This window comes from Homo sapiens, chromosome 3 (genome assembly GCF_000001405.40).
Source record: "Homo sapiens chromosome 3, GRCh38.p14 Primary Assembly".
Taxonomy (NCBI): domain Eukaryota; kingdom Metazoa; phylum Chordata; class Mammalia; order Primates; family Hominidae; genus Homo; species Homo sapiens.
Genome location: NC_000003.12, coordinates 160,358,431 through 160,378,018, shown reverse-complemented (window position 1 = coordinate 160,378,018; position 19,588 = coordinate 160,358,431). Strand labels below are relative to the sequence as shown.

Genomic DNA, 19,588 nt, shown 5'->3' with positions numbered 1-19,588 from the left:
AGAGAGACAAGTCAACAGTGCAAAGAATAAGTGATACAAGAAGCCAAGAAAGGATCATTGTGGTTTACGAATGATTATTAAGTCTAGTAATATACAGCTGGTAATTTAAAACACTTTCTCATCCATAGGTGTGGTATATTTATTGGCACATCGTTTCTGAAGCATAGACATATACCCAGACCATAGGTATTTAAATTGTATTAACTAAATCAAAAGGTTTATGAATTTGGGTTTTTCCCTGTTATGAACATGTATAATTATTTTGAACCACGTAAGCATATGCATTTTCAATTTATTTTAAAATATTTAAATAATTTTGTTTTTGTGCCTATTTTCCAATAGATTTATATGTGATATTAAGAATAATTATAATGTTAATATTTGCCTTTATGCCTTTAGTGCCTATTACTTAGTCTAGTAGTAGGTGCTTTGTTGATTGAATAAATAAAATAGATTTTTCAAATGTAATTTCTTTCAGGTAAATTTCATCTGATTTCCAAGTTAGGAAGAGTGGAAAAAAGTGTAGAAGCTCACTGTGGAGCAGTACTTGCAGGAAGATGGAATTATGAAGGAACAGCATTAGTTACAGGTAAGTTGTCTGTAAAAATGACATTTGAAATGAATATTTTAAAGAAAAATTTCCAAAGAAACAGAATATTTTCATTTAGCAATAGTGTCTTTCATTGTGTAATAGCAAATAATTGGCATAGTATTGTTCTACACTGCTATATAAATGTTACAATTCAGAATGTTATATTAATCATTTTCTTATGTGACCTTTGGAGACTGTTCTGTCAAAGAAGGCTTTTGGAATGGTCACGTATGGAATAAATAAAAGTTGTAATTCTTTAAAATTTGAAAATTCCAAATATTCTCATTTAACTGACCATTATCCCCATTCTGTCTGTTTCCAATCCCCTGCCCTACTCTAATGATTCAACCTATTACATTAGTTTTCTATTGCTCATAACAAATGACTCTTAATAGTTAGTGACTTAAAATCATAAGCATATAGTACCTGATAGTTTCTGTGGGTCAGGGATCAGTTTAGGTGGGTGGTTCTGTCTGACTCAGAGCCTCTCATGAGGTTCTGGTCAAATTGTTGGATGCGGCGGCAGTCATATGAAGGCTTGTCTGGGGCTGGAGGATCCACTTCCAAGATGTCTTACTCACATGGTTGTTGGCAGGAGGCATTAGTTCTCTGGCTTTGACAGGAGACCTTAATTAATTCCTTGCCACATGGGCATCTCCATAGGGTTGCTTAAGTGTTTTTAAATAGGACAGCTGGTGTCTCCCAGTGATCCAAAAGAGAGCCAGGTAGAAGCTACTGTATCTTTTGTAGTGTACCCTCAGATATTATACTCTGTTTCAGTTATATTCTGTTAACTTAGCAAGTCACTAAGTACAGCCCACAGTGGAAGAGAGGGAAATTAAACTGTGCCTCTTGAAGTGAAGAATAAGAAAGAATTTGAGGATGTGTTTTAAAACCACCATACCTATACTGTGGGCCTTCTCTAGGACTTTCCTCAGTGAATTGGCCCTTCTCTTACTTGTATCTTTAACATGTTTTCCAATGGTTTGTCAGCATGTAAATATGTTCGGATGTCACCCATCTTAAAAATTAAGAAGAAATAGAAATCCCTCTCTTAACAAACAGCTCTCTCTACCTGCAACTATTTTCTTTCTCCCTTTTTCAGCAAAGCTGTTCAAAAGAGTAGTCTATTACCTCACTTCATTCAGTCCCCAACTCACTGGAATTTGGCTGCAGCTCTTCTTATTACACTGGAAACACTTTTCTTAGAATTCTAAGATGGAGACTGCAGTGACAAAGGAAACATTATTTGAGTAATATACTTACAAGTCTTCTAAGATTGAAGGAAATAAAAATTTTCGTCATGAAAGTTAAGCTACTTTGATAAAATCGTTTCAACGTAATTTCTATTAAATGATAGTTATAAAGTACTCTGTCATTTAAACTGTTTCTGAATTTTAAATATGTAGTAATATTCCATGATTTCAGGAAGCCTAGAAGAAAAAAGAATATGCGGTAGATACTGTTGATTCTTATATGCAAATTTAATGTTTAAATTTATTTTCTATAGGTAAAAATACTGATTAATTTTTTTTTCCCTGTATAGTTGGAGAAGATGGACAAATAAAAATTTGGTCAAAGACTGGGATGCTTAGATCAACTTTAGCTCAGCAAGGTATGTTTTACAATTGACAATTTCATTTTTGCAAATTATACAATACAAAAATGCCTTAAAGTTTTCCTTTAGAAACAATCTAATACGGTGGTTGAGACTGACTTTGGTTGAGTTCAAAACAGTAATCTCTTATATTTTACACTGTTTTGTCTTTCTTTGCTTGGTACCTGATGTACCATGGTAACACTATTATTTCAAGCCAAGAAATATAGGAAATACTCAAGGGCTTTTTTTTATGTTAGTGAATCTCTAGAAAGGCAGTTACAAGCTAAATATTTTCAAAAAATAATTGTGAAACGTTTGAAGCATATCTTATATAGAATTGGAGGTCTAGTTAAGTAAATCATAGTACGAAAAGATATTGAGTATCTCCTTACTTAAAAATCCCCGATAACTTCATAATATTAACACCCTTTCCAAATTAAGTTGTATGTTTGATTTCTATACTGATGGAGGGGAACAGACACACTAAGAATCTGAAACCACACTATTTAGAGGAGCATCTTAATTTTTTATGTTAATAGAAAGGAGTGGCCATAAAGTCAATCCAATGGTCCTTCCTATTGGAAGTTAGATTACATATGATTTTTTCTGTGTAACAGATTTTCTTAATTAGATTTTACATAGGAACAGTAAGCAGTTTTAATGTTTACCTGAGTATGTATCAGCTGATCTTTAGGTTGCCAAAAAACTTGCTGACTATTCCTCAGAACTATTTGATAAAGTCATATTGTGAAACATTTTCGATAACTGACTTCCAAAAATTTCCAAATTTTATTTTTAAAACCATGTTTACTTTTAGGATAAGGTTCAAATCACTTGCATTTCTTTAGCTGTATATTAACTGAATGTTAGCAAAGGTAACCAGAAATACTAAGTAGTATTTCTTTTCTAAGCTTAAATGTTTGCTACAGATAATCTCAAGGCAGAATATTTATTCATGAGTAGAAAATTCAGAGTTCATAGAAGTAGCCGTGGGTAAGTTTCAGTTAACAGCAAAAGTCAACTTATTGTTACTTTAGTAATAAATGTACCTTTAGAACATAAATCTTACTTTAATCTCCTAGTAGGCAGATGGATTTACTTTTGGCTTCATAGATTTTTCTTTTAAGACTCATTATTTGACATTCTCACTTTGTGACAAATGACTTATGAATAATTGACAGAATTCTTTCAGAGATCACTGGCCTTTTGGAAGAACTACAAGAATTTCAGCTGCTGTTACTACTGAGACAGTGTGCAGCAGCTGAAGTGCTATATCCGTTTTTCCTTTCTTTTCTCTTTCTTCTATCAATTTGTTGCCTGTAGATGACACAGATCTTCAGAGAAATTCTAAAAGCCCATCCCACTATCCACCATGGAAGATTTTTTCTTTTTCTTTCTTTTCTTTTTTCTTTTTTTTTTTTTAGACGGTCTTGCTCTGTCTCCCGACTGGAGTACAGTGGCACCATCTTGGCTCACTGTAACCTCCTCCTCCTGGACTCAATCGATCTTGCCACCTCAGCTTCCCAAGTTGCTGGGAGTACATGTGTAGAGCCGGGATTTTGCCATGTTCCCAGGCTGGTCTTGAACTCCTGGGCTCAAGTGATCCTCCTGCTTTAGCCTCCCAAAGTGTTGGGATTGCAGGTGTGAGCCACTGTGCCAGTCTGAAGATTTGAATTCTTTCCCGAGACCCTTCACCAGTGCCCTCCCAGTGCTTCTTCCACTTCCTTCAATTTTTCTGTTATCTCCTTCCCATTTACTACCTGTGGATTCACCATTTCAGATGTTCCAGAGTCTAAAATGGAAACTTGGAATAAGTTGTTTAATATAAACATTGTTAATTGTTTAGTCTATGTCAGGGGTCCCCAACCCTTGGGCCACAGACCAGTAGCTGTCTGCTGTCTGTTAGGAACTGGGCAGTACAGCAGGAGATGAGCAGTGGGTGGGCGAGTGAGTAAAGCTTTATCTGTATTTACAGCTGTTCCCCATCACTTCCATTACTGCCTGACCTACACCTCCTGTCAGATCAGTGGTGACATTAGATTCTCATAGAAGCATAAACCCTATTGTGAACTGTGCATACGAGGGATCTGGGTCATTCACTCCTTATGAGAATCTAATGCCTGATGATCTGTCACTGTCTCCCATCACCCCCAGCAGTGACCATCTTGTTGCAGGAAAACAAGTTCAGGGCTCCCACTGATTCTATGTTATGGTGAGTTGTATAATTATTTCATTATATATTACAATGTAATAATAGAAATAAAGTGCAAAATAAATGTAATGCCCTTGAATTATCCTGAACCACCCCTACCTGGTCCATGGAAAAATTGTCTTCCACAAAACCAGTCCCTGCTGCCAAAAAGGCTGGGAATCACTGGTTTAGGTGATAATAGTGCTAGTAGTTTAGTGCTATAGTTTTCCTGTATAATGAGTCTGGAAACCAAATTGCTACTTATTTTATTCTCATGGGGAAAATGCATTCAGAGTCTCCAGACTTGGAAAGGCTGGTTGGAAGCACATGTTCACAATGAAGAATTGGAGATCACAAATAGATGACCTCTGAGCTTAATCTGGCCCATTAGCATGGTGGAGACCCAATATTAAAAATCAGGACATTTTGGCCAGGCATCGTGGCTCACTCCTGTAATCCCAGCACTTCAGGAGGCCAAGATGGGTGGATCACTTGAGCTCAGGAATTTGAGACCAGCCTGGGCAACATGGCAAAACCCCATCTCTACAAAAAATACAAAATTTGCTTCTGCTTTTGATATTCTAGTGATGAAGCTATTGCCTAATCCCATGCCATAAAAATTTCACTTACAGTGAAATTTCAGTGTTTACATTCTGGTCTGTGATTCATTTTGAGTTGGTTTTTGTGTGCAGTGTTTATTTTAGAGAGGGGATGGTGATGCTCTTCCTCTCACTGCCCTCCCATAGATGGGTAAACAAGATTTTCTTAAAAGGTAAAATACAGATTATACCATATAATACAGTTGATTTTCTTATGTATTCATCATATCATGTAATGATATTACCCATCAACATTTAAAATGTGTTTTCCTTAATATCAAATGACTTTGAAATGACTATCATTTTTGTCCTATTTTAATTTTATTGTTCTCAAAGTTTGTTAATTATGGATTAATAAGCAGAATTAAATTAGATAGATATTCCCATTTTGGCTAACCTCTTGGTATTTCAACAGAGTAATCTGATACCTTTTTCTGGACTAAGAATTACAAACTTACTGTAGAACTATGCATCTGATTTTTGAGTGTTTAATCATTGGTGCCATCTATACTTTCCTCATAAGGCATAGACTTTTCCTTTTTCATCTCCGGAAAAATCAGTAGAGCAGTTAAGTTGTTATAATGACAGTAACCCAAAAGGAAAGGTCCCTAATTACTTATAAAATTTCTTTGATCTATTAGAGACTGCAAGTTTTGAGGGTGATTGTAAATCTGAACTACTGAGAGTTGGATGCTAAAGGCTCAAGTAAGAAGGCCAAGGCAGCTGGGGGTGCAAGACTACTGCCTCCTTTGAAGGGAGAAACTAAATTTTGACACAAAAATGAAATAATATAAACCTGAATTATCATAAAATTTGGAAATCTGTAAAGTGTTGGAAGCATCCATGTGACTTTGTCTATGTGTGTTCATTATACTTATTTCTTGATGAATAGAGATTAATTCCTGAATTCATTTCTTGACTATTGGAGCCAGATGTTCAGATAGAAAAAGCTTTAGTCATTAACTTCTCTTCTAATCCAGAAGATACTTTAATCTCAGTTTTGGGTGGGGGGATTTGACTTAGTTTAAAAATGATTCTTACTGGTATTTATGGGGAGTTTATTGTTCCTTATTAGAGAAAAATAATATGTACACCAGAGATAATTATACTTAGGCCATATCTTTTGTGTCATTGTTCTAGTTTTAATCTCTAATTAAAATATATAAAGTAATGCTGCAAACCTTTAAGGACATTTTCCCCACACTATTTTCAAGTGGAGGAATAGAACAACAAAACATGGAACTTGCCTATAATGAATTCAGTTAAGGAGGTAAACTGTAAATATAAGTAATTGTGGCTGGGCACAGTGGCTCATGCCTGTAATCTCAACACTTGAGAGGCTGAAGTGGGCAGATCACTTGAGCCCAGGAGCTGGAGATCAGCCTGGGCAACATGGGAAAACCCCATCTGTACAAAAAATACAAAAGTTAGCCGGGCATAGTGGTGCATCCCTGTAGTCCCAGCTACTCAGAAGGCTGAGGTGAGAGGATCATCTGAGCCCGTGGGCGTTGGGGCTACAGTGAGCTGTGATCATGCCGCTGCACTCCAGCCTGGGCACCAGAGTAAGACCCTTTCTCAAAAAAAATCAATCAATACAAATTAATAAATAAATAATTGTAATACAAAGGAATGTGCTTAAGGTGCTGTTGGTGGCAGGTGGGAGTGGACCAGAGGGTGGAGATTAATGTTCTGGGGAGAGTGAATGTATTGGGAAGGGTTCCTGGCAAATATTGCAGCATCTTTTGAACTGGGCTTTGAAGAATGAAGAAATGGGAAAGGAAATGGGCTTGTTGGCATTGGAGTGAAGCTGTTAAGAAGCTTAGCATCATAAGAGGCTTAGAGACAGAAGACCGTGAGACCTAAAAGTCAGGTGAGTGGGAGCTAACTCCTTGGGCCAGAGTGTAGGCCGTGTGAAGGATAGTACTGCCAAGGGGACCAAAACACTGACAGTCCTGGATGTTAAAAGAAGGGGTTTGGCATTTATTCTATAAGCATACAAAACCTTTAAAAAATTGACCAGGAAAGTAAAGATAATGCCAATCTTTTAGACAGATTCCCTTTTCAGTAATAATAAAGTTAAACTAGAGGAGGTAGAGATTAAATAGAGGTGGCCAGTAAGATTTCAAATTGTCTATGCTAGTAAGGCAGCGATTAAGGCTTGAATAGAGGCAGTGACAACAGTAGTTGGAAAAGTGGATAGTTCTCAGAGACTGAGAGGGATGTACCCTGTAAGAGTAAAGACTTCAAAGAGGGATAAATTAGGAAATATATGTGGAGGGATGATGGTTTTGGATATGTAGAACTTGAAGCTCTGTGATGGAGATCTCTTTGGATCAAGTAGAAATGTGTTGGAGCTCAGAGGTAAAGGCTAAAATATTAATTTGGGAGTAAGTTACATTAAGTGAAAGGTGAAGCTATGGGGAAGTTGAGACCCCCCAAGGGAGAAGTGGTTGAAGATAGAAACTTAAAAAAAAATGCCTTTATTTAAACTTTTTCTTGTATTGATCCAGTGATATATGTAAGCATGGAGCATGGAATTTTTTGAATAAATCCCACTTGATTAACTATTGTTAGCTCATGTCTCCTACAAATAAAATGAAAAGGAAATCATTCTTCGTGTTTGAATGCCAATGATTTGGCCAAAACAGAAAAAAAAAAAAATCAAATGGCTACTACTATGAACAATACAGTAAGCAAATGCTTGCTTATTACAAAATAATTTGTAGTAGTTAACAGATAGTGCTATATAGTGCCAGACTCTATTCCAAGTACTTTACTTCTATTCACTCAATATAGACCGATACTGCATTCAAGGCAAAGATAGCTACTGTAATTTATTAGAGTAGTGAACAGTTTGTTTCAAAGGCATTCTTAAAAACATACAAAAACAGCGTTTTTAGGGGATACTTTTATAGTATGAATGTGAAAAACATGGTATATTTGACCATGTACTTCCTTAAAACAATTGAAATACATTTTTGTCTCCTCTTCTGTGGTTTAAAATGCCTTCAACAGGTTGAAAGAATTTAGATAATTTGTTTTATGGAGAGATAAGGGTCTGACATTTAACACAACCCCAGGTGCATGTGGTTTCTTAAAAAATGTCAAAAAGGTCACATGATTTTAGTGTACAAAGTTAGAAAAACAAGATCTTTTTGAGTGTCTTAGCAGAAATGGAGCATAAATTAAAATTTCCAATATAAAAAGTAAAAAACTATTTATTATAAAGCTATTTTTTGTTTTTTGCCCATTTTTGTTAATGATGAAATAAATAACATTTTGTTACATAATTTGCTAAACTCTGTTTTAAAGTAATTCAATGCAAAGGCTAAGTTTGTTATTTCCATGCTGACTTTGCAAAGCGAAACATAGCACTGGGAATAATTCATGCTTTAATAAATATATTTTAAAAATTTGAAATATAAATTTTTTAAATGCTAGTGGATGGATTTCATAATAATACAAATTATTTCATGAAGCTGATTCTTCCACTTTTAATAATGATCTTTATTAGAACCACCCAAATTGAAAGTTGTATAGCTATGTAGTTTATTTCCTTTTAGAAAAGAAAATGTTTATATGTACAGTAGTTTAATGCTTAATATTTTAAGTGTAAGGAATGATTATAATAAAGATCAAGGTTTTTAATGTGATATCCATTTTGAATTTTTAATGGTTAAGGAGAGTAACTATGAGTCCTGTCTATTGACCATGCTTATTTATCATAAATAAATAATTTATTTGTTTCCATTGCTTGTATTTTGATTGAAGGAATGTGGTTAAAAACCACATGTTATAACAAAGGAATTACTTAACTTTTTCTTTATAAGCTTATTTTCTTTTATTATATAAGTTATACCTGTTTCTTTAACATTATTGTTTACAAATTTGTTTTATAAGCAGGAAATGAATTATCTCTTTGTCCCAAAAGGGAAGATAAATACTATGAAGAAAGGTTCATAAACAAGGAAATGGTGTCATAGCTGACTTAATGGGACCACAAATTAAATGTTAAAGTTAAGAGGACTAAAGAGTCCTTAGTTCCTCATTCTGTACCCCAACCGTGCCTTTTACCACAACTAAAGCCTTAAAGTCACATCCTGTATAACTCAATGGGAGTTGTATTTACTGAATTATTTCCTTGAGGGTAGATGTTTGTCACAGTTTGGTATACACGCCAGGAAAGTATAATTTTACTGAGTGTATTTATGAAGATTTGATAGGCTATAAATTAAAACATTAATTTACTTTTTTGTACAAAAATTATAACTATAATAATGGAAATAAAGATGGCTTATATAATTCTACAACCTTAGCTAGTAAGTCCCTGTCACTCCTTTCCAGTCCTCACCAAGAACTACATTTGAAATATCTGAAATTTTGACTTCTATTTTTGGGGAGTTTATTAAGGTTAAACTTCGTTCATTTGGAGATTTATTTTTGAAGTACAGGTCAACTCCTGGCTACTCCCAGAGAATATTCCCAGAAAATATACTCATCAAGTACAGAAAAAGGAGGAGTACCTTCTGAGGTTGGCCATCTCATCAGGAAGAATTTCTGTGGGTTCCTTTGATACAGAACAATCCTTGATGTCATTGACTAAACAGGATATTTAGACATTTTATAACACCTGAACTGTGGAAGACATGTTTCAGGGTTTTTTTTTTTTTTTTTTTTGGACTGGGTCTAGATTAGACTTTCTAACCTGTATAAACCATTGGGACTTGCTCACAATTGAATTGTGTTTTTATTAGGGAGAAAATAGCACACAAAAAGTAGGGTACCTCTTAAACAAAAGCATTTGTCTTACTGAAATTTATTCAGTAAGACATTGATTTATTGATTATATCATCAGTTGGGCTTTTCATTTGAATAAACAATTAAATTTTATTGATTGCCCACAAACCCTGAAATTCAGATTTCATTCTACTAAGAATGTAAATTCCTTAATGATTCATTCATTTATTCATTGATTCGTTGATTCACAGAAAGTCAATTACTACAATAGTCTGATTTAGGAGTCCTAGACAATTTTTAAAAGATGGTTTTGTAAATATAGTTGGGTTACTATTTCATAGATTAACTACATAACCTTGATTCACCTGCCTAATGACTAGGCAGCTGGGCCGGGCAAGTGGAAAACAGATTATTTACTGCCGTATAACCAATGCTTTCAATAAATATGATAGTCATTTTTTAAAACTAGGCTTACATAAAGTATAGTCTTCCAGAAGACATTAGGTAATCTAGAAAGTAATTAAGGTAAGAAATACTATACTTAAATGTAATTGATTTTAAAAATACCGTCTCTAAATTCCTATTGGCAATTGAAAACACTATCAAGTGTAATGTAGTTTATAGAGTGGTAGGTAAATCAAACTTGTACTTTTCCTCTGGAAGTAAACTTTATGCTAGTTATAAGATATTGGAGCTTTTTTTAGCCAAGCTTTTGGGCTAAAGCCAAACCTAATAGATAACAAAATTTTCCCTAATCTGATATAAAAAAATTTGCCATTTGTGAATTCATGAGTGGGAGGTTATTAGATTGTTTTTGGATGAAGTTATTTCTGTCCATTAGTCTGCTGCTTAAGCAGCATGTGAGGGGAAGTTCTATTGCCTGTTGTAGCATCAGGTATGATAATTAATTTATAAGGTGAGTATACCATTTGTATTTTAATATGTAAAATTTAAGTTACTTTATGCATTGAGTCAGTTTAATACTGATGGCTATAACTCCATTGCTGGGTATATACCCAAAAGAAAGAAAATCAGTATATTAAAGAGATAGCTACACTTTTGTGTTTGTTGCAACTCTGTTCACAATACCAAGATTTGGAGGCAACCTAAGTTTCCATCAACAGATGACTAGATAAAGAAAATGTGGTACTTATATACAGTGGAGTACTATTCAGCCATAAAAAAAATGAGATTCAATAATTTGCTACAACATGGATGGAACTGTAGTTCATTCATTATGTTGAGTGAAATGAGCCAGGCACAGAAAGACAAACATTGCATGTTCTCACTTATTTGTGGGATGTAAAAATCAAAACAATGGAACCCATGGAGATGGAGAGAAGGATGGTAACAAGATGCTGGGAAAGGTAGTGAGGGGGTTGTGAGGGAGGTGGGGTGGTTAATGGGTACCAAAAATAGAATGAATGAATGAATAAGGCCTAGTATTTGATAACACAACAGGTTGAGAGTACAATTGGATTGTTCATAACACAAAGGAAAAATGCTTGAGAGGATGGATACCCCATTTTCCATGATGTAATTGTTATGTATTGTATGCCTGTATCAAAAGATCTCATGTGCCCCATAAATATATATATCTACTGTGTACCCACAAAAATTAAAAATAAAAATTTTTAAAAAGCTTGCTAGGTGATTACAATGTGCAGCCAAGCCCCAAGACTGCTGCTTTAAACCAACATCATTTGTTGAACTAGTTGCAAATAAATGTAAAAACATTTGCTGCCAATAAATAAATACATACTGATGGCTGTCAATGATGGGAAATGATAAATCATGACTTTTCTGCTATTTCTTTATATATTAAAAATGAAGTATATTTATTTTATCTTATGTATTTCAATAGCACCTATATGGAATTTCTAAAAACTCCATATTTTCTCAGCAAGATCCTAATTAGTTAAAAATATAGTATGTCAGTTGCTCACAGTAGATTTTCAAAGGTCAATATTAACCCAGTCAGCATTTCAACATCAGACTATATACTCTAATTTGAAAGGTCCATTGAAAAGAGAAGAAATGAAATGACACCTCATATGGCTTTTTTGATCCTCTTAACAATCTCTCTTTTTATAAGGCATAATAATTAAAGTTTATCAGCCTTTTTTTTTTCTTTTTTCATCTTACAGGAACACCAGTGTATTCAGTAGCGTGGGGCCCTGATTCAGAAAAGGTTCTTTATACAGCAGGCAAGCAGCTAATCATTAAACCTCTTCAACCAAATGCTAAAGTTTTGCAGGTACTTCTCAGTCATTTGTAAATTGTTATCAGGGTCTGCCTGACTGCTAAACTAGAGGGCACTTGCTTAGGAGTCTCTTTCTTCTGGGTGGTCTTTTTACAGTCTGGTCTTTAAGTACATGGTTTAATCAGCCTTTATTACAGAACAAGGAATATCTTTATATTTCCAACAAGGTTTGTTTTCCCCTTATTCCAACTCATTTTGATAATGATACAGCATAGTTTTGCTAATAAGAACACAGGCTTTGGAGTTAGCTACTTGGGTTCAAATCTTCACTCACTTACCTATACATGACCTTAGGCAAGTTATAAAATATTGTTGAATGTCAGCCTTCAATATCTCAACTAAGAGATGAGAACATCTCTTAGTTAGTGACACTAATATCAGCTTAACAGGATTGCTGTAAGGATTAAATGAGTTAAAATTGCAAAGTGCAAAGGACAATTCCGGGCATACAGTAAGCACTCAATATACAGTACCTGTTATTATCTGTATTATTATGCTATTATAAGTTGCTGTGCCATCTCTACCTTTTAGTCAACCAAGGAGACCAGGAAAACATTGTAAAATGACTAGGTCTTGAGTAAGAGATTTGTTGGTAGACATTGACAGGCTACAGCAGGCATAGAAGTGTTTTCACAGTTGAGTAGATGTAGATTTTAGGGAATAAGGACATAGAGATGACTTTGAGGTTCCATATTATAACATCTGTACAGATTATGCTATATGTATTTTACACAGCCAAAATGCATTTACATTTTTATGGTGTGCAGAACACTCTGCTAGGAACTATAGGGACATGCAAGAATAGAACATACAAGCCCCTGTCCTTAGGCACCTAAGGTAAAGAATTTGGGCAAAGGGAAGAAGCTGGGAAAGAGGACTAGTTTTGATGGCTCTTAGTCAAAGTCCTTCCATGCCAATTACCTACGCTGAAAATCTGCTATGAAATTTATACAGCAAAAACAGACAAGTTGAATCTTTTAGTTTATACCTTTAGTTTATAGTTATGTGAATTTGTTTTTTTTTCTTTTTTTTTTAATTATACTTTAAGTTCTAGGGTACATGTGCACAATGTGCAGGTTTGTTACATAGGTATACATGTGCCATGTAGGTTTGCTGCACCCATTAACTCATCATTTATATTAGGTATTTCTCCTAATGCTATCCCTCCCCCAGCCCCCCACCTTACGACAGGCCCTGGTGTGTGATGTTCCCTGTCCTGTGTACAAGTGTTCTTATTGTTCAGTTCCCACCTATGAGTGAGAACATGCGGTGTTTGGTTTTCTGTCCTTGTGATAGTTTGCTGAGAATAATGATTTCCAGCTTCATCCATGTCCCTGCAAAGGACATGAACTCATCCTGTATTATGGCTGCATAGTATTCCATGGTGTATATGTGCCACATTTTCTTAATCCAGTCCATCACTGATGGACATTTGTATTGGTTCCAAGTCTTTGCTATTGTGAATAGTGCCACCATAAATATATGTATGCATGTGTCTTTATAGTAGCATGGTTTATAATCCTTTGGGTATATACCCAGTAATGGGATGGCTGGGTCAAATGGTATTTCTAGTTCTACATCCTTGAGGAATTGCCACCCTGTCTTCCACAGTGGTTGAACTAGTTTACACTCCCACCAACAGTGTAAAAGGATTCCTGTTTCTCCATATCTTCTCCAGCACTGTTGTTTCCTGATTTTTTAATGATCACCATTCTAACTGGTGTGAGATGGTATCTCATTGTGGTTTTGATTTACATTTCTCTGATGACCAGTGTTGATGAGCATTTTTTCATGTATCTGTTGGCTGCATAAATGTCTTCTTTTGAGAAGCGTCTGTTCATATCCTTTGCCCACTTTTTGATGGGGTTGTTTTTTTCTTATAAATTTGTTTAAGTTCTTTGTAGATTCTGGATATTAGCCCTTTGTCAGATGGGTAGATTGCAAAAATTTTCTCCCATTCTGTAGGTTGCCTGTTCACTCTGATGGTAGTTTCTTTTGTTGTGCAGAAGCTCTAGTTTAATTAGATCCCATTTGTCTATTTTGGCTTTTGTTGCCATTGCTTTTGGTGTATTAGTCATGAAGTCCTTGCCAATGCCAATGTCCTGAATGGTATTGCCTAGATTTTCTTCTAGGATTTTTATGGTTTTAGGTCTAACATTTAAGACTTTAACCCATCTTGAATTAATTTTTGTATAAGGTGTAAGGAAGGGAACCAGTTTCAGCTTTCTATATATGGCTAACCAGTTTTCCCAGTACCATTTATTAAATAGGGAATCCTTTCCCCATTTCTTGTTTTTGTCAGGTTTGTCAAAGATCAGATGGTTGTAAATGTATGGTGTTATTTCTGAGGGCTCTGTTCTGTTCCATTGCTGTGTATCTCTGTTTTGGTACCAGTACCATGCTGTTGTGGTAGCCTTGTAGTATAGTTTGAAGTCAGGTAGCGTGATGCCTCCAGCTTTGTTCTTTTTGCTTAGGATTGTCTTGGCAATGCAGGCTCTTTTTGGTTCCGTATGAACTTTAAAGTAGTTTTTTCCAGTTCTGTGAAGAAAGTGATTGGTAGTTTGATGGGGATGGCATTGAATCTATAAATTACTTTGGGCAGTATGGCCATTTTCACGATACTGATTCCTCGTATCTATAAGCATGGAATGTTCTTCCATTTGTTTGTGTCCTCCTTTATTTTGTCGAGCAGTGGTTTGTAGTTCTCCTTTAAGAGGTCCCTCACATCCGTTGTAAGTTGGATTCCTAGGTATTTTAGTATCTGTGTAGCAATTGTGAATGGGAGTTCACTCATTATTTGGCTCTCTGTTTGTCATTGGTGTATAGAAATGGTTGTGATTTTTGCATACTGATTTTGTATCCTGAGACTTTGCTGAAGTTGGTTATCAGCTTAAGGAGATTTTGGGCTGAGATAATGGGGTTTTCTAAATATACGATTGTGTCATCTGCAAACAGGGACAATTTGACTTCCTCTTTTCCTAATTGAATACCCTTTATTTCCTTCTCTTGCCTGATTGCCCGGGCCAGAACTTCCAACACTATGTTGAATAGGAATGGTGAGAGAGGGCATCCCTGTCTTGTGCCAGTTTTCAAAGGGAATGCTTCCAGTTTTTGCCCATTCAGTATGATATTGGCTGTGGGTTTGTCATAAGTAGCTCTTATTATTTTGAGATATGTTCCATCAATACCTAGTTTATGGAGAGTTTTTAGCATGAAGGGCTGTTGAATTTTGTCGAAGGCCTTTTCTGCATCTATTGAGATAATCATGTGGTTTTGTCGTTGGTTCTGTTTATGTGATGGATTACGTTTCTTTATTTGCGTATGTTGAATCCCTTGCATCCCAGGGATGAAGCCAACTTGATCATGGTGGATAAGCTTTTTGATGTGCTGCTGGATTCAGTTTGCCAGTACTTTTTTTGAGGATTTTTGCATCGGTGTTCATCAGGGATATTGGTCTAAAATTCTCTTCTTTGGTTGTGTCTCTGCCAGGCTTTCGTATCAGCATGATGCTGGCCTCATAAAATGAGTTAGGAAGGATTCCCTCGTTTTCTATTGATTGGAATAATTTCAGAAGGAATGGTTCCAGCTCCTCTTTGTACCTCTGGTAGAATTCGGCTGTGAATCTGTCTGGTCCTGGACTTTTTTTGGTTGGTAGGTTATTAATTATTGCCTCAATTTCAGAGCCTGTTATCAGTCTATTCAACTTCTTCCTGGTTTAGTCTTGGGAGGGCATATGTGTCCAGGAGTTAATCGATTTCTTCTAGATTTTCTATTTTATTTGCGTAGAGGTGTTGATTGTATTCTCTGATGGTAGTTTGTATTTCTGTGAAATCAGTGGCGATATCCCCTTTATCATTTTTTATTGTATCTATTTGATTCTTCTCTCTTCTCCTTTTATTAGTCTTGCTAGTGGTCTATCAATTTTGTGGATCTTTTCAAAAAACCAGCTCCTGGATTCATTGATTTTTTTGAAGAGTTTTTTGTGTCTCTATCTCCTTCAGTTCTGCTCTGATCTTAGTTATTTCTTGCCTTCTGTTAGCTTTTGAATGTGTTTTCTCTTGTTTCTCTAGTTCTTTTAATTGTGATGTTAGGGTGTCAATTTTAGATCTTTCCTGCTTTCTCTTGTGGGCATTTAGTGCTATAAATTTCCCTCTACACACTGCTTTAAATGTGTCCCAAAGATTCTGGTACATTGTGTCTTTGTTCTCATTGGTTTCAAAGAACATCTTTATTTCTGCCTTCATTTCGTTATGTACCCAGTAGTCATTCAGGAGCAGGTTGTTCAGTTTCCATGTAGTTGAGTGGTTTTGAGTGAGTTTCTTAATCCTGAGTTCTAATTTGATTGCACTGTGGTCTGAGAGACAGTTTGTTGTGATTTCTGTTCTTTTACATTTGCTGAGGAGTGCTTTACTTCCTGCTATGCGGTCAATTTTGGAATAAGTGTGGTGTGGTGCTGAGAATAATGTGTATTCTGTTGATTTGGGGTGGAGAGTTCTGTAGATGTCTATTGGGTCTGCTTGGTGCAGAGCTGAGTTCAAGTCCTGGATATCCTTGTTAACCTTCTGTCTTGTTGATCTGTCTAATATTGACAGTAGGGTGTTAAAGTCTCCCATTATTATTGTGTGGGAGTCCAAGTTTCTTTTTAGGTCTCTAAGGACTTGCTTTATGAATCTGGGTGCTCCTGTATTGGGTGCATATGTATTTAGGATAGTTAGCTCTTCTTGTTGAATTGATCCCTTTACCATTAGGTAATGGCCTTCTTTGTCCCTTTTGATCTTTGTTGGTTTAAAGTCTGTTTAACAGAGACTAGGATTGCAACCCCTGCTTTTTTTGCTTTCCATTTGCCTGGTAGATCTTCCTCCATCCCTTTATTTTGAGCCTATGTGTGTCTCTGCATGTGAGATGGTTCTCCTGAATACAGCACACTGATGGATCTTGATTCTTCATCCAATTTGCCAGTCTGTGTCTTTTAATTGGGGCATTTAGCCCATTTACATTTAAGGTTAATATTGTTATGTGTGAATTTGATCCTGACGTGATGTTAGCTGGTTATTTTGCCCATTAGTTGGGTTATTTTGCCCATTAGTTGCCCATAGATGCTTCCTAGCATCAATGGTCTTTACAATTCGGCATGTTTTTGCAGTGGCTGGTACTGGTTGTTCCTTTCCATGTTTAGTGCTTCCTTCAGGAGCTCTTGTAAGGCAGGCCTGGTGGTGACAAAATCTCTCAGCATTTGCTTGTCTGTAAAGGATTTTATTTCTCCTTCACTTATGAAGCTTAGTTTGGTCAGATATGAAATTCAGGGTTGAAAATTCTTTCCTTTAAGAATGTTGAATATTGGCCCCCAATCTCCCTTCTGGCTTGTAGAGTTTCTGCTGAGAGATCTGCTGTTAGTCTGATGGGATTCCCTTTGTGGGTAACCCGATCTTTCTTTCTGGCTGCCGTTAACATTTTTTCCTTCATTTCTACCTTGGTGAATCTGACAATTATGTGTCTTGGGGTTGCTCTTCTTGAGGAGTATCTTTGTTGTGTTCTCTGTATTTCCTGAATTTTAATGTTGGCCTGCCTTGCTAGGTTGGGGAAGTTCTCTTGGATAATATCCTGAAGAGTGTTTTCCAACTTCGTTCCATTCTCCCTATCACTTTCAGGTACACCAATCAAATGTAGATTTGGTCTTTTCACATAGTCCCATATTTCTTGGAGGCTTTGTTCGTCTCTTTTTACTCTTTTTTGTCTAAACTTCTCTTCTCACTTTATTTCATTAATTTGATCTTCAATCACTGATACCCTTTCTTCCACTTGATCGAATCAGCTACTGAAGCTTGTGCATGTGTCAAGTAGTTCTCATCCCATGGTTTTCAGTTCCATCAGGTCATTTAAGGTCTTCTCTACGCTGTTTATTCTAGTTAGCCATTCATCTAATCTTTTTTCAAGGTTTTTAGCTTCCTTGTGATGGCTTAGGACATGCTCCTTTAGCTTGGGGAAGTTTGTTATTACTGACCTTCTGAAGCCTAGTTATGTCAACTCATCAAAGTCATTCTCTGTCCAGCTTTGTTCCATTGCTGGCGAGGAGCTGCGATCCTTTGGAGGAGAAGGGGTGTTCTGGTTTTTAGAATTTTCAGCTTTTCTACTCTGGTTTCTCCCCATCTTTGTGGTTTTATCTACCTTTGGTCTTTGATGTTGGTGACCTACAGATGGTGTTTTGGTGTGGATGTCCTTTTTGTTGATGTTGATGCTATTCCTTTCTGTTTGTTAGTTTTCCTTCTAACAGTCAGGACCCTCAACTGCAGGTCTGTTGGAGTTTGCTGGAGGTCCACTTCAGGCCGTTTGCCTGGGTATCACCAGCAGAGGCTGCAGAATAGCAAATATTGCAGAACAGCAAATATTGCTGCCTGATCCTTCCTCTGGAAGCTTAGTCCCAGAGGTGTCAATCTGCCTGTATGAGGTGTCAATCGGCCCCTAACTGTCTCCCAGTTAGGCTACACGGGGGTCAAGGACCCACTTGAGGAGGCAGTCTGTCCATTCTCAGAGCTCAAACGCCGTGCTGGGAGAACCACTGCTCTCTTCAGAGCTCAGTTGAAAATGCAGAAATCACCCGTCTTCTGTGTCGATCACACTGGGAGCTGCAGACCAGAGCTATTCCTATTCAGCCATCTTGGAATGGTGTCCCTGTAAATTTGTTTAGATACCTGTAATTAGGCTTATAGAAATGAAACTCAGGAAGCTGGTTATATCACAATTGGTCAAGTTAAATATGGCTTAGTGGTTCAGTAGAACCTCTGGGCCAGGAGGTAGTAGAGTGAATCAAAGTATCCATTGCCAAAATTAGCTAGAGAGAAACAGGACTTAAAGTATAATTAGTAACTTCATGCAAATTATCTATTCCTTTTGGGAGACTAAAGCAGCTGCAATTCTTCTTGAGCATAAAAACATATTCAAATTAGGATTGTCCACAAAAAAGTGTGCTTAATTAATTCTTGCTTGTGGAATGCAGTTCAGAAGTATATACCTCATGTCTTTTAAGGCCTTCTCAACACTTCGAACTTGGTCTTATAGTGAGGAAATTTTTATTTATTCGTTGAATAAAAATGTAATGCATACCTGTTATATACCAGGCACTGTGGTAGGTATGAGATAGTCAAAATGAAACAGAACATAGTTTCTGCCTTCAAGGAGCTTCTTGTTCAAAGGAATTTTACAAAATGCCTAATACATTAATAAATAAATAAAAATTATTATATGTTTAACAATATGCAAATATTTGTAATATATGTTGATACCCTAAATTACAGTGTAAGGAAAATTTAAATCATATTTTATTCATAAATCTTGAATACGCAATATTTATTTTGTTCCTTTAAAATGAAACTCTTAAGAATCCATGGCTGGGCACGGTGGCTCATGCCTGTAATCCCAGCACTTTGGGAGGCCAAGGCAGAACTTAACGATTTTCATATCAATGGGAGGTACTGGAACCAATCCCCCACAGATACCAAAGAATGACTGTATACCAAAGAATGAATGTATAGAATATATACTTATCTATGGAAAACATCTTTTTGTTACATGGTAAATACAGCAGAAGTTTCTCAGAGTAGTCCAGTTG

At 36.1% G+C, this 19,588-nt stretch overlaps 1 protein-coding gene and 1 long non-coding RNA gene across 6 annotated transcripts in view; both read left to right on the top strand.

The window, feature by feature from the left end:
* The window catches only part of TRIM59-IFT80 (TRIM59-IFT80 readthrough (NMD candidate)), a 258,294-nt gene that overhangs the window by 107,729 nt on the left and 130,977 nt on the right, over positions 1 to 19,588 (top strand). For 2 of the 3 annotated variants that reach the window (NR_148403.1, NR_148402.1), the window contains exons 5-7: positions 479 to 589; positions 2,139 to 2,207; positions 11,867 to 11,976. This is a non-coding gene — a long non-coding RNA (TRIM59-IFT80 readthrough (NMD candidate)). The remainder of the gene's footprint in view (positions 1 to 478; positions 590 to 2,138; positions 2,208 to 11,866; positions 11,977 to 19,588) is intronic. The other variant, NR_148401.1, reaches the window with a different exon arrangement.
* The window catches only part of IFT80 (intraflagellar transport 80), a 142,240-nt gene that overhangs the window by 21,207 nt on the left and 101,445 nt on the right, over positions 1 to 19,588 (top strand). For all 3 annotated transcript variants that reach the window (NM_020800.3, NM_001190241.2, NM_001190242.2), the window contains 3 exons: positions 479 to 589; positions 2,139 to 2,207; positions 11,867 to 11,976. In NM_020800.3, the coding sequence (NP_065851.1) occupies positions 479 to 589; positions 2,139 to 2,207; positions 11,867 to 11,976 (290 nt within the window). The remainder of the gene's footprint in view (positions 1 to 478; positions 590 to 2,138; positions 2,208 to 11,866; positions 11,977 to 19,588) is intronic.